General features: G+C 58.1%; 1 protein-coding gene across 9 annotated transcripts in view, besides 8 other annotated features; it reads left to right on the top strand.

The window, feature by feature from the left end:
- Window positions 1–12,813, top strand: part of PIP5K1C (phosphatidylinositol-4-phosphate 5-kinase type 1 gamma) — a 70,286-nt gene that overhangs the window by 15,777 nt on the left and 41,696 nt on the right. The gene's annotated exons all lie outside the window — the stretch shown is intronic.
- Window positions 807–1,101: an enhancer, noted in NCBI's record as "tiled region #323; HepG2 Activating non-DNase unmatched - State 15:Elon". NCBI's record gives its function as "activates a minimal TATA promoter and a strong SV40 promoter by Sharpr-MPRA in HepG2 cells {active_cell/tissue: HepG2}" and the evidence as "EXISTENCE:reporter gene assay evidence [ECO:0000049][PMID:27701403]".
- Window positions 1,522–2,071: an enhancer, noted in NCBI's record as "H3K27ac-H3K4me1 hESC enhancer chr19:3682619-3683168 (GRCh37/hg19 assembly coordinates)". NCBI's record gives its function as "activates a minimal SCP1, AML or CMV promoter by ChIP-STARR-seq in naive H9 embryonic stem cells {active_cell/tissue: H9 hESC(naive)}" and the evidence as "EXISTENCE:reporter gene assay evidence [ECO:0000049][PMID:30033119]".
- Window positions 2,072–2,619: an enhancer, noted in NCBI's record as "H3K27ac-H3K4me1 hESC enhancer chr19:3682071-3682618 (GRCh37/hg19 assembly coordinates)". NCBI's record gives its function as "activates a minimal SCP1, AML or CMV promoter by ChIP-STARR-seq in naive H9 embryonic stem cells {active_cell/tissue: H9 hESC(naive)}" and the evidence as "EXISTENCE:reporter gene assay evidence [ECO:0000049][PMID:30033119]".
- Window positions 2,620–3,169: an enhancer, noted in NCBI's record as "H3K27ac-H3K4me1 hESC enhancer chr19:3681521-3682070 (GRCh37/hg19 assembly coordinates)". NCBI's record gives its function as "activates a minimal SCP1, AML or CMV promoter by ChIP-STARR-seq in naive H9 embryonic stem cells {active_cell/tissue: H9 hESC(naive)}" and the evidence as "EXISTENCE:reporter gene assay evidence [ECO:0000049][PMID:30033119]".
- Window positions 4,357–4,857: an enhancer, noted in NCBI's record as "H3K4me1 hESC enhancer chr19:3679833-3680333 (GRCh37/hg19 assembly coordinates)". NCBI's record gives its function as "activates a minimal SCP1, AML or CMV promoter by ChIP-STARR-seq in primed H9 embryonic stem cells {active_cell/tissue: H9 hESC(primed)}" and the evidence as "EXISTENCE:reporter gene assay evidence [ECO:0000049][PMID:30033119]".
- Window positions 8,800–9,301: an enhancer, noted in NCBI's record as "H3K4me1 hESC enhancer chr19:3675389-3675890 (GRCh37/hg19 assembly coordinates)". NCBI's record gives its function as "activates a minimal SCP1, AML or CMV promoter by ChIP-STARR-seq in primed H9 embryonic stem cells {active_cell/tissue: H9 hESC(primed)}" and the evidence as "EXISTENCE:reporter gene assay evidence [ECO:0000049][PMID:30033119]".
- Window positions 10,132–10,925: an enhancer, noted in NCBI's record as "H3K4me1 hESC enhancer chr19:3673765-3674558 (GRCh37/hg19 assembly coordinates)". NCBI's record gives its function as "activates a minimal SCP1, AML or CMV promoter by ChIP-STARR-seq in naive H9 embryonic stem cells {active_cell/tissue: H9 hESC(naive)}" and the evidence as "EXISTENCE:reporter gene assay evidence [ECO:0000049][PMID:30033119]".
- Window positions 11,862–12,537: an enhancer, noted in NCBI's record as "H3K27ac-H3K4me1 hESC enhancer chr19:3672153-3672828 (GRCh37/hg19 assembly coordinates)". NCBI's record gives its function as "activates a minimal SCP1, AML or CMV promoter by ChIP-STARR-seq in naive H9 embryonic stem cells {active_cell/tissue: H9 hESC(naive)}" and the evidence as "EXISTENCE:reporter gene assay evidence [ECO:0000049][PMID:30033119]".

Raw genomic sequence — 12,813 nt, 5'->3', positions numbered from 1 at the left:
AACAAACCACTGCCACACTGAGAGGCTTCACGCTGCAGTGCTTTTGCTGTCAGTTTCCCAGTATTGGCTGGGCTTGGCTGGGCTCAGCAGGTCGGTTCTGCTGCGGCATCTGGCTTGTGCCAGCACACCCTGGTGGCCTCCTGTCCCAGGCCTCTCTCCGCATTGCTGCCACCCTCCAGCCTGGCCCCAGCATCGTACTGGAGGGATTCCAAGAGAGCAGAGGCTGATGGAAGAATTCCCCCCATGTCACTTCTGCATCATGTGATTGGCCAAAGCAGGGCTTGAGACCCGCCCACTTTCAAGGGGAAGGAATTCGGCCCTGTCCCCGGGATGGAAGGGACCCTGGCAGGCAGCAGGTGTCCCCATCTGTGTGTGAGTGCTGTGAGATTGTGCGCTGGATGATGTGTGTGGGGTGAGGGGGCGGCAATGAGCTCATCTTGATGCCTCTAATTATAAGGCAAAGAAATGCTCATGCGTGACTGGTGTGGTTACCACTGCAGCGCTGTGAGCGGGAGGCTCTTCTTATCGTTCCGTCTTTATTTTGAGGAATCCTGAGGTCCAGTGGGTGACACAGAGGCCACTTCCCAGCCAGGAGGCTGTGGGTGCTGCTCCAGGCACCGAAGCATCTGCTCTGCCTCTCCTGTGCTGGGGGCCGGGCCTGCTGCAGAGACAGAGTCAGCACTGGTCGGGGTGGTGGGGGCTCCAACATGGGGGAGGTGTGGGACTGCCCGGGAGAGGAAGCGGGGGCTCCAGCGTGGGGGGGGTGTGGGACTGCCCGGGAGGGGAAGCAGGGGCTCCAGTGTGGGGGAGGTGTGGGACTGCCCGGGAGGGGAAGCGGGGGCTGGCTGTGCTCTGCACAGGATGTTCCTGCTGTGCCCGGGCTGATCCCAGCTCTCCAGACACGGTCCTGCCCCGGGGCCTCCGTACTGGCTGTGCCTCTGCCTGGGAGGCCCCTCTGCCCTTCCCCCGCCTGGCTCCTCCTCACTCTCCTCCCGTCCCTGCTGTGGTGACGCAGACTGGGGCCTGACATCCTGGAATCAGGTGCGTCCACCCCTACATTTTTGCTGCATGATCAGGCAAGCGATCTGACCTCTCTGAGCCTCAGTTTCCGCCTCTGCATAATGGGAGCAGTAATAGTGCCTACGTCACAGGGTTGTTGGGACAATTGCGTGACTAAGCCATGGGGTTCTCATATGGTGCGGGCCCCGCCACACACACGGCGAAGGTGGGCTAGCTCGTCTCTGGCCAGCTCCTGCCTGCGCTCCAGCTGTTCCAGGGTGGCTCAGTGGTTAGAGACGGGAAGCAGCCTGCGCCCCTGGGCTCTTGACCCCATCCAACCCCGTTTCCCTCCTGAGCCAAGCCCACTGTGCCCTGGACCCAGATCTCCGTGGAACTCCTGGGAGGAGGACACTGTCGCAGGCAGCCTTACCCACGTGCCAGGCTCGTGCTGTCTGCACTGTTGCAGAGGGGAAAGATGAAGTCGCTGCCCTGGCCGGGCTCATGGCCTCAGAGGGAACAAATGTGGAGGATCCAAGGAGTAGAGAGAAGTAAACCCAGCGGGGGCAGGGTGACCAGGGAGGGGACTCTCTGAGGAGGTGACATTTGATCTAGACCTGAACAAGGTTGGGTGGGAGAGAGAGTTCCAGGCAGAGGCGCAGCCTGTGCGGAGGCCCTAGGGCAGGACCAAGCCTGGTGTGGGGAGGGAGGGGGAGGAGAGGAGGGAGGGGAAGGACAGGAGGGGAGGGGAGGGGGAGGAGGGGAGGTGTTCTCCATCTGGGCCTCTGTCCAGCAAACGTTCATTGAGGCAACATCTGTGACCTCACACAGTTTCTGAGTCAGGAGTCTGGGAGCGGCGTAGCTGGGTGGTCCTGGCTCGGGGTCTCTCATGAGGCTGTGGTGAAGCTGTCAGCCGGGACTGCCTCCTCTGAAGGCTCAACTGGGGCTGGAGGAGCCGCTTCCAAGAGAGCTTCTGCTCTTTATTTTTTATTTTTTTAATTTTTTTATAGGGACAGTCTTGCTCTGTCACCCAGGCTGAAATGGAGTGTCACCATCATAGCTCACTGCAGCCTCCAACTCTGGGGCTCAAGCAGTCTTCCCACCGCAGCCTCCCGAGTAGCCGGGACTACAGGCACACGTCACCACGCCAGATAATTTTTTTGTTTTTTGAAGAGGTGGGGTCTTGCTATGTCTTGCTATGTTGCTCGGTCTGGTCTGGAATTCCTGGGCTCAAGCAATCCTCCCACCTCGGCCTCCAAGTGTGCTGGGATGACAGGTATGAGAACTGCGCCTGGCCCACAATGCCTTTTTTTTTTTTTTTTTAGATGGAGTCTTGCTCTGTTGTCCAGGCTGGAATGCAGTGGTGCGATCTCAGCTCACTGCAACCTCTGCCTCCTGGGTTTGAGCGATTCTCCTGCCTCAGCCTCCTGAGTAGCCGGGATTACAGGCGCGCACCCCCATGCCTGGCTAATGTTTGTATTTTTAGTAGAGACGGGGCCTCACCATGTTGGCCAGACTGGTCTCAAACTCCTGATCTCAGGTGATCCACCCGCCTCAGCCTCCCAAAGTGCTGGGTTTATAAGAGTGAGCCACTGTGCCTGGCCCACGATGCCTTTTCTAAGAAATGTTAGGCACCTTCTCTTTGTCTCCCTCTGTGCTATTGGTGGGGGTGGTGACGGGGTCAGACCAGCATGCAGCGTGCAGCAGGCTCTGCAATCTGGGCTCGTGGAAGCATATTCCTACACGCCAGGCTGACGGGGAAGGAGTTCGCTTTGGATCCTGGTGGGCCTGAGGGGCCAGAGGACCAAACGCAGGCCCCAGGGCTCGTTTGGCTAAGTGACCCCCTGGAGTTTATCTGAAGAATGTGCCTTAAGTTTGCTCCTCCCCCAGGGGCTGCCCTGGGGCTGCTGTTTGCCCTCCCCCAGGGGCTGCCCTGGGGCTGCCGTTTGCCCTTCAAGTCCAGGCTGGAGCGAATGTTGCTGCCTTTGACTAGCAGAGACCTCTGAGCCTCAGTTTACATAGCTGTAAAATAGGTCCAATGCCAGTCACCTCATGGAGCATTGAGAGGGTCAGAGACGCAGCTTGCAGAGCACCAGCCCGCGGGGGGATGTGTGTACGAGCTGCAGCTTTTATTACAGGGAACTTCAAACAAAAGACAAAAGTGGGCCAGGCGCGGTGGCTCATGCCTGTAATCCCAGCACTTTGGGAGGCCGAGGTGGGTGGATCACCTGAGGTCAGGAGTTCGAGATCAGCCTGGCCAACATGGCAAAATTCCGTCGCTACTAGAAATACAAAAATTAGCCAGGTGGTAGTGGTGAACGCCTGTAATCCCAGCTACTTGGGAGACTGAGGCAGGAGAATCGCTTGAACCCAGGAGGCAGAGGTTGCAGTGAGCCAAAATCATGCCACTGCACTCCAGCCTGGGCGACAGAACGAGACTCTATCTCAAAAAAAAAAAAAAAAGTGGACAGGGTGGTACAGGTACGGGTGTTCTTTTCCTGAAACATTGTACACACCCGGAGAATAGTGTCAGGAACACCCTGCCCGCCCCCACTCCCATCCCACATACCTCCATACTGTGTTGACTCCGGGTTCTTGTGTGTGCAGATGCGGGGGGCGAACAGGGGCGAGATTCTACCATCCCAGTCTCTAAAACAGGGTCTCTGCCTCTCAGCACTGCCGACCTGTGGGACCTGATCTTTCTCTGGGGTAGGGCCATCCTGGGCACTGCAGGGGGCTGAGCAGTGTCGCTGGCCTCCGCCTACTTTATGCCAGGAGCACCCTTAGTCATGACAATCACAAATGGCCCCAGACATCAACCAGTGTGCCCTGGAGGGCAGAGTCTCCCCTGGTGAGACCTCCATTTCGGTCACTCCCTCCACCCCCAGGGCCACGCTCAAAGCCTGTCCCAGAGGAGATCCTGGCCTCCGCCTGATCTCCTCTGACCCTTTACAAAAGTTTGCTGACCCCTGACTTAAGGGATAAACAGAAAAGATGTTTTTTGACCTATGTAGTAATAGATGGGTGTCTTTTATGTGATTCTGTGCTTTCCAGGTGCTTAAAACCTTTTCTTATTAGACATTGTATTTAGACAGTCCGGGCGCGGTGGCTCACGCCTGTCATCCCAGCACTTTGGGAGGCCAAAGTGAGTGGATCACCTGAGGTCAGGAGCGAGACCAGCCTGGCCAACATGGTGAAACGCCATCTCTATAAAAATAGAAAAATTAGCTGAGAATAGTGGCGGATCCCTTTAATCCCAGCTACTCGGGAGGCTGAGACGGGAGAATCGTATGAACCTGGGAGGCGGAGGTTGCAGTGAGTCAGGATGGTGCCGTTGCACTCCAGCCTGGGCGACAGAGCAGGACTCCGTCTCAAAAGAAAAAAGAAAAGACAGTTGCATTTAGACAGAGAGCCGGCCGCCTCAGTGGTGTGTCATCCCCCAAACCCAAGAGATGCTTGCTGATTTTGGTTTGGATGGATGGATGGATGGATGGATGAACGGATGAACGAGCCAACAGACAATCACCTGACACCATTCACCACGCTGGGAGTCTCAGAATCAGAAGAGAGTGCATCTTCAGGGTAAGAACTAGCCTGTAGTCACTTCAGGGCCATTGTTCCAGGCTTGATTGTGGGGCTTCAGGCCTTTGCCACGTCCCCCCGAGGGGGCTGTAGCCAGGGTGTTCTCACAGGGCCAGAGGGCAGGAGCTGGGATCCCCCAAACCCCACCATAGCCCGGGCAGTGTCTCCCACAGCATCTGCCTCTTCGTTTGCTGCAGAAAGTTTCTTGAGCGTCTGCAACATGCCGGGCACGTTCTAGGCTCCAGTTGCCTGCTCCACCACTCCGTCCACCATGCGTGCCCAGCGCAGCACGTCAAGCCACATCCAGGGCGCCCCTTGGGCCCCTCCAACCCTGCAGGTCCTGACTGCTCAGCACATCTGACCCAAGCCTGTGCTTCTTCCTGATGCCCCATCTTGGTAGCCAACTCACTGTGTGCCTGAGCCCAGGTCCCAGGTCACGTCCTCTCCAGTGCTCCCCCTCCACAGCTGAGGACCCCTCTGGATCTCCCAGATCCAGCCCAGCCCGCCTGCCCCAGCTCCATTCACCGGTGCTGCTGCGCCCCTACTGAGTAGCGAGTAGGTCTGGGAGAGCAACCGTGAACGAGACGCCAGGTCTGTGCTCCCACAGGAAGGAGCAAGATCAGTCCCAACTGATGTGCAGTGTGAGGAAATAGAATGGGATGCAAGGCGGGTAGGAAGGTGGCTGTGAGGACGGTCTCCCTGGGGAGGTGAGAGGCTGAGACCCAAACGGGAGGACAGGAGCCGGCCAAGCAGGGACACAGGCGCAGCACGCGCAAGGCCCCTGAGGCAGGAACATGCCCCTCAAAGGTGTGGTGCTGGGTGGGGAGCCTGGGCACAGGGCCCGGCCCACTGGAGCTTGGGGGCATCCTCTGTGACCCGTGTCCCCACTCAGGTTCCTCAAGCAGAGTTCCCTCAAAAACCGTGTTTCTTCAGAGCTTGAAAACACCTGTGTCCAAGGTAAAGACTCACCTTTCCCCTGGGGGAAAGGGATTTTTAAAGAGAATTTTCAAAAGTGCTGAAAAGTTGAAAGAATTGGGCAGTAGACCCACGACTTACCGCCTGGGTCTTGCAATTGGCAGTTGGCTGTGTTCACGCCATCCCTCCATCCCACCATCCCTCCATCCCTCCCTCCATCTTGCCATCCCTTCATCCTCCATCCCTCCATTCTCCATCCCTCCCTCCACTCCTCCATCCCTCCATCCCTTCCTCCGTCCTGCCATCCCGCCATCCCTCCCTCCATCCTGCCATCCCGCCATCCCTCCATCCCTCCCTCCATCCATCTTGCCATCCCTTCATCCTCCATCCCTCCATTCTCCATCCCTCCCTCCATCCCTCCCTCCGTCCTGCCATCCCGCCATCCCTCTGTCCCTCCCTCCATCCTGCCATCCCGCCATCCCTCCATCCCTCCCGCCCTCCATCTCGCCATCCCTCCATCTCGCCATCCCTCCATCTCGCCATCTCTCCATCTCTCCCTCCATCCTTCCATCTCTCCATCCCTCCTTCCACCCCTCCATCCCTCCATCCCTTTATCCCTCCATCCCTCCCTCCATCCCTCCTTCCATCTCTCCATCCCTCCCTCCATCCATCCCTCCCTCCATCCCACCATCCTTCCATCCTCCTTGCCTCCATCCCTCCTCCATCCCTCCATCCTCCATCCCTCCATCCTCCATCTCTCCATCCTCCATCCCTCCATCCTTCATCACTCCATCTCTATCCCTCCATCCATCTATTCTCCATCCCTCCATCCTCCATTCCTCCATCCCTCCATGCCTCTGTCCCTGCATCCCTCCGTCCCTCCATCCCTCCGTCCCTCCATCCCTCCATCCCTCCACCCCTCCATTCTCCATTCCTCCACCCCTCCATTCTCCATTCCTCCATCCTCCATCCCTCCGTCCCTCCATCTCTCCATCCCTTCATCCTCCATTCTCCATCCTCCATCCCTCCATCTCTCCATCCCTCCATTTTCTATCCTGCCATCTCTCCATCCCTCCATCTCTCCATCCCTCCATTCTCCCTCCCTCCTCCATCCTCCATTCTCCTTCCATCTCTCCATCCCTCCATTCTCCATCCCTCCATTCTCCATCCCTCCGTCTCTCCATCCCTCCATCTGTCCATCCCTCCATCCTCCTTCCCTCTATTCCTCCATCCTCCATCCATCCATCCCTCCCTCCATCCCTCCATTCTCCATCCCTCCCTTTATCCCTCCATCCCTCCTCCATCCCTCCCTCCCTCCCCTCCCTCCCTCCCTCTCTCTATCCCTCTCCCACCCCTCCATCCCTCCCTCCCTCCATCCCTCCATCTATCCCTCCCTCCCTCCCTGCATCCCTCCCTCCATCCCTCCATCCTCCATCCTCCATCCCTCCCTCCATCCCACCATCCTTCCATCCCTCCATCCCACCATCCCTCCATTCCGCCATCCCTCTCAGCTTGTTTTTTGGAAGCCTTTCAAAGTTGCAGACCTCAGCACCCCCACCTGTCAACACTTAACACGATTCAGCATCTTGAACTGGACTCACTGTCTCTTTTTTTTTGAGAGGGAGTCTCACTCTGTTGCCCAGGCTGGAGTGCAGTGGCATGATCTTGGCTCACTGCAACCTCCGCCTCCCAGGTTTAAGCGATTCTCCTGCCTCCGCCTCCCAAGTAGCTGGGATTACAGGCACTGGCCACCACACCCGCCTAATTTTTGTATTTTCAGTAGAGACGGGGTTTCACCATGTTGGCCAGGCTGGTCTCTAACTCCTGGGCTCAAGTGACCCGCCTGCCTCGGCCTCCCAAAGTGCTGGGATGACAGGCGTGAGCCACCGTAAAGCCTGGCCTAAAACTTTCTCTTTTTCTTTTCAGTCTTCATTCCTTTCTCTTTTTCTAGTCTTATTGCTCCAGCCAGCACTTCCGCTGCAGTGGCGGCTCTCACAGCCACACCCCTGGTCTTGTGGTTGACATTAAGGCATTTCCCATAACTTTTTGCTTTATACTTCTTTCATTTTATATTTTATTTTATTTTATTTTAATTTTAAGACAGGATCTTGCTCTGTTGCCCAGGCTAGAGTGCAGTGGTGCAGTCATAGCTCACTGCAGCCTCAAACTTCTGGGTTCAAGTGATCCTCCCGCCTCAGCCTCCCAAGTAGCTAGAAATACAGGTGTGCACCACCACTCCTGGCTAATATTTAAATTTTTTTGTAGAGATGGGGGTCTCACGATGTTGCCCAGGCAAGTCTCAAACTTCTGGGCTCAAGCCGTCCTCCTGCCTCAGCCTCCCAAAGTGCTAGAGCCACCTCGCCTGGTCTTATATTTCTTTTTAAAGTAAAAGCAGTCTCCCTTTCTCTCCTTTTTTTCTTTCTTGGTAGTATTTTGGGGGGACGTGAAATTCATGTTGAATTTCGTTGAAGGTTTTTCTGGATTCGGAGATGGGATCACAGCGTTTTTCACCGTTGACTTTGGGTAACTTCCTAAATTTCCCCAAATCCCCATTTCCCGGCCTGTCAAACGGTGATCATGAATTAGGTGGCAGCTGGATCAGGTGCTCACAGGCGCCTCCTGGCCACGCGCCGTCGGGGAGTGGGCCGTGGGGGGCGAAGGCAGAGGCGAGTGTGCCAGGCGGGGGGCCGAGTGATGGTGCAGCCTTTTATTTCTAGATCTGCCTGTTTTTCGAGAAACCCAGGTTTTTCTCCAAAACATTGTGATTTCTAGAGTTGACCGAACCCAAACACCGCAGGGCTCAGAACCAAGCCCGGGCGGGCCACTCACCAGGGTGTGCTGGGAGTGGTGGGTGCCGGGGACCGCGGATGTACCGGGTGACAGTTTACGGCGACTCGCTGGGCTTGGGGCTGCAGGGCCGGGCAGGTACCTGAGTTCACATCTCTCATCACTTCCCGGTGGGGACCATCAGTCGGGTGCTGCCTGTCCCCAAACAGGGACCCCATTGCCTACCATGCCAGGCCTGTATGGGTTAGAGACGGTCACGCGGGAGGCCTGGCCACATGGGTTCTCCCCAGCGGTGTCAGAATCCTTCCACCTCTCCCAGCCTCGGTTTCCCCATGTGTCAAATGAAGCCGTGAGGAGTGGCTGCCTGGTCAGGCTGGGTGGGATCCTGTGTGGGGAGAGCTTGGTCGGCACCTGGTGCAGATATTTGCTGTTGCAGCCGTGTTGAACATCTCACCCAAGGGTTTAACCTCAGGGGCTACTGAAGCGGGGCATCACCTGGGGTCATCCTGCCCCCCTGGGGACACGGGGCCATGTCTGGAGACATCTGTGGTTGTTACAGCTGGGGGGTGCCCCTGGCATGGAGTGGGTGGAGGCCAGGGATGCTGCTCGGCACCCTGCAGTGCCCAGGACGGCCCCAGTGACCAGCCCAGAGAACAATCCAGCCCTAAGTGCTGAGGGGGGAGATCCTGGTTTGCATGGGCTTTGGGGGGTGCCTGGAGGCCCCCAAGCCGTTTGCATGTGGGTACACTCATATCAAGAGAGAAGAGGCCTGAGGCAGGGCCGTTTGATGTCACCATGGACGAGACTGTCCATCCCGGTCCATACCAGAGAGGAGCAGAAGCTGAGGGTCGGCACCAGCCTTTCAGACCTCGGTAGTTGCTGTTTACTGCGTTTCACAAAAGCCTTGGTCCATGATGGAGAGAAAAGAAAGGTTGAACTCAGTTCTACAGCACAGACAGTGTGAGAAGCTCCAGCCTGCAGCAGACTGGCTGCCCTTCTGGTCAAGCCTTGACCAAGTCCCCCAACCTCCTTTAGAGACAAGCAAACTGAGGCCCTGGGGGATGACCGAGTTTGGAGAAGGTTCCAGATGGTGTATGTCACTGGGCAATGCTTTTGCAACTAAAGGGATCTGCATCTTCATTTTGCTTTTCTGGGACACAAAATTCACTCTTTGAAAGTGTCTTACTGCTTACTTATTGCAACTGAGTAAATTCTTCTCGGCGTATTCACAGAGTTGTTCAGTCACTGCCACTAATTCTAGTACATTTCCATCACCCCGAAAGCAAACCCTGCGCCTGGCGGCTGTCACTCTCCATCCCTCCCCAGCCCCAGCACCCATGCATCCCCTCCCTGTCTCTCTGGATCAGCCTGTCCTGGACATTTCATAGAAATGGGGTCACACACTGCATGGCCTCTTGTGTCTGGTATCTCTCACTGAGTGTGACGTCTTCAAGGTGCATCCGTGCTGTGGCCTGCGTCAGAGCCTCACTCCTTTTCATGGCTGAATAATCCATGTACAGATTATTAATGCTTCTTTGAATGTAAGAAGTCCAAGTAAGACAAAGGAATTAAAAACTGTAACTCCTCCTGTTCCAAAGAAGTCCACAGATAGGCCGGGCACGGTGGCTCATGTCTGTCATCGCAGCACGCTGGGAGGCCAAGGCGGGCAGATCACGAGGTCAAGAGATTGAGACCATCCTGGGTAACACGGTGAAACCCCATCTCTACTAAAAATACAAAAAAGCTGGGCATGGTGGTGCGTGCCTGTAGTCCCAGCTACTCGGGGGAGGCTGAGGCAGGAGAATCGCTTGAACCCGGGAGGCGGAGGCTGTAGTGAGCCGAGATCTGCAGCTACTCGGGGGAGGCTGAGGCAGGAGAATCGCTTGAACCCGGGAGGCGGAGGCTGTAGTGAGCCGAGATCTGCAGCTACTCGGGGGAGGCTGAGGCAGGAGAATCGCTTGAACCCGAGTGGCGGAGGCTGTAGTGAGCCAAGATCTGCAGCTACTCGGGGGAGGCTGAGACAGGAGAATCACTTAAACCCAAGAGGCAGAGGTTGTAGTGAGCCGAGATCTGTTTCAGTCAGCTATTGTATAACAAACCACCCCCAGACAGAAGCTTCAAACAACTGTGTATTTGCTTGCGATTCTGTTATTTGGGTTGGGTTCAGTTGGGTGGTTCTTCTGTAGGTCATACCTGGGGTTAGTTCCATGGCTGTGGTCGGCAGTGGCAGGAAATTCAAGCTCGTCCTACACTTGCCTGTCCAACCCTCAGCCAGGATGGCAGGAACAGCTGGGGCCGCCCGGTCTTTTTGCAGGGAGCTGGCCTCTGAGTGTCGTGGCCCAGGTTCCCAGAGGCACAGTGAGAAGTGCCAGCCTTCCTCACGCCCACACCATCCCTTGCATCACATTCTGTTGGTCAGAGCAAGTCACACTACTGCCAAGCGTCGCAGCCATCTGTGGACAGCCACAGAAGGCCTTTCTGCAGTTTAGCAGGAGAAGATTCTTGCACGGCCTACCCTTGTCCGCCGGGTCCTGGTCTGAGCCTCACCAGAGCTGAGGGTCGGCCCTGCCGCCTCCGGGTCCCCACCCCAGCCTGTGTCGTGGAGTGCCGCTGCCCAGCCTGGCCGTCCTGGCAGGTCCTCAGAGGGGCCTGTGGTCCCCATGGTCGGAGGCCTGCACGGCGGGAGGCCAGAGGATGGGTTGTTCCAGCGAATGAGGGAGGTGACCGTGAGCTCTGGCCCGGGGTTGCTTCCTGCTTGTGGGATCGCAGGACCCCGTGCCTGGGCCGTCCTCACACACCCGGGTTGCTGTGTCACGGCGAGCCTGCACCTGTCCTGGGGTGCCCAGCAGTTGCCCTCTGGGCAGCGGCCCCACCCAGGGGTGCAGGCCCCCTGTGCTACTCTGACACACCTGGGTCCCACTGCCGCCCCTTTCTCACTGGCCTTCCCTTGCTGCCCTCAGAGCTTTGCCAGAGTCTGTGAGCAGGTGACAGAGCAGGCCTGGGACCCCTGTTGTGGGGATGACAACAGCCATGTATCAGGTGGTGCCGTGTGCCGGGCAGTGAGGAGGGGATCGTTTGGTGCAGGTTGGCTGGAGGAGGCCTCTGAGGGGTGATGTTCAAGCCAGGTCTGGGGTGAAACAGGAACAAACCGTGAGGGAATCTTGGGACTGGCAGGCCAGGCAGAGGCACCGCTCGTGCAAAGGCCATGACACAGGGTGGCGCTGGCGTGCTGGAGGGACAGCGAGGGCCCGTGTGGCTGGAGCAGAGGGAGGAGCAGAGGGCAGGGAGGGGGCCACACAGGGTCTGGTGGGGTGACAGGGCCTGGTCTTCACCCTGCAGGGTTGCAGTGAGGCCTGGGGAGACCCTTGTCTGCGGTGGGGGCGGGGTGGGTGGGCCCCCTTTCGCAGAATCCCTCCCCTGCCGTGGGCTCTCCCCGGCCCCCCAGTCCCCAGCCCCCCAGTCCCCAGCTTCATCATCCTGGGCCTTCCAGGGCCCTGCCCACTCTCCCCCCGCCCCCACCGCCTCCAGGGCTGGGGCTTTCTCCTCCCAGCCATGGGGGTCTGGACCTTGGTTCTACAGGGATGAGGCCACCACTGTTCCTGTCCTGCCTGCTGTCACAGTGCCCTGCAGGTGCCCACAGGGGCTGAGGCACCTTCCACCCACCCTCGAGCTTGCCTCGCTGGGCCCTCTGCCCCACGGCGCCCTGTCGGTGAGCCCAGAATGTGCCCTGTTTCCTCTCACTGTGATGCCTCCCTCCCTCTGGCCACCTGTCCAGACCTCTCCGTCCCCATTCTTACTTTGGGTCTCACTGCAGAGCCAGCCTGACAATCTGCCTCCTCCCCCAGTTTAGTCATTCCCTGCCTCAGTGTCCATGTCAGACAGATGTGGAGAGGAAGCTCTGGCGGAGGCCTGTTGTGCAGAGAAAAGAGGAACGGGTATCTGTCAGTCCATGGGTCAGTCAACAAACACGCCCATGCTGTCAGCCCAGGGCAGGCCCCGTCCTGAGGGAGCCCCCAGGCTCAGCAGGAGGGACCAGGCTGGTCTGCAGGATGGGGCGGTGTCAGTGGGGTGGCAAAGGTGGCTGGTGTGGGACACAGTGTCCAGGGAGCACTGGCAGGGCCAGGGCGGAGACCAGGCGCAGGCCAGGGAACAGCTGGGTGCAGAGGCGGCCATGTGGCCCCGTGGAGAATGGCAGTGCCTCTAGGGCTCGAGCTGGCTTCAGCCGCACTTTATAGAGAGAGACTGAGGCTCAGAGAGAAGCCCTGGGCACACAGGGAGGTGGGGTGGCCGATGAGGTCACCGTGCAGCCAGCGATCAGAGCCGTGCACCGCAGGCCCGGGTCGCCACCACGTCCTGTGATGGGGCCAGGAGAGAGGGGCCCCAGCGGCAGAGCCCCCGCCTCGGGCCTGGCCAGCGGAAACTGCTCAGAGGGGCCACCTCCCGGCTCCGCAGCGCGGCTCGCCTTTCCTCCCCCGACTATTTTTAAAACCTAATTTCCTCGAAAACGGGGTGGCTCATTCAGCAGATAATTAG

Source organism: Homo sapiens, chromosome 19 (genome assembly GCF_000001405.40).
Source record: "Homo sapiens chromosome 19, GRCh38.p14 Primary Assembly".
In the NCBI taxonomy this organism is placed as follows: domain Eukaryota; kingdom Metazoa; phylum Chordata; class Mammalia; order Primates; family Hominidae; genus Homo; species Homo sapiens.
Note: the sequence above shows the minus strand (reverse complement) of the source record. Positions and strands in the feature narration are given on the sequence as shown.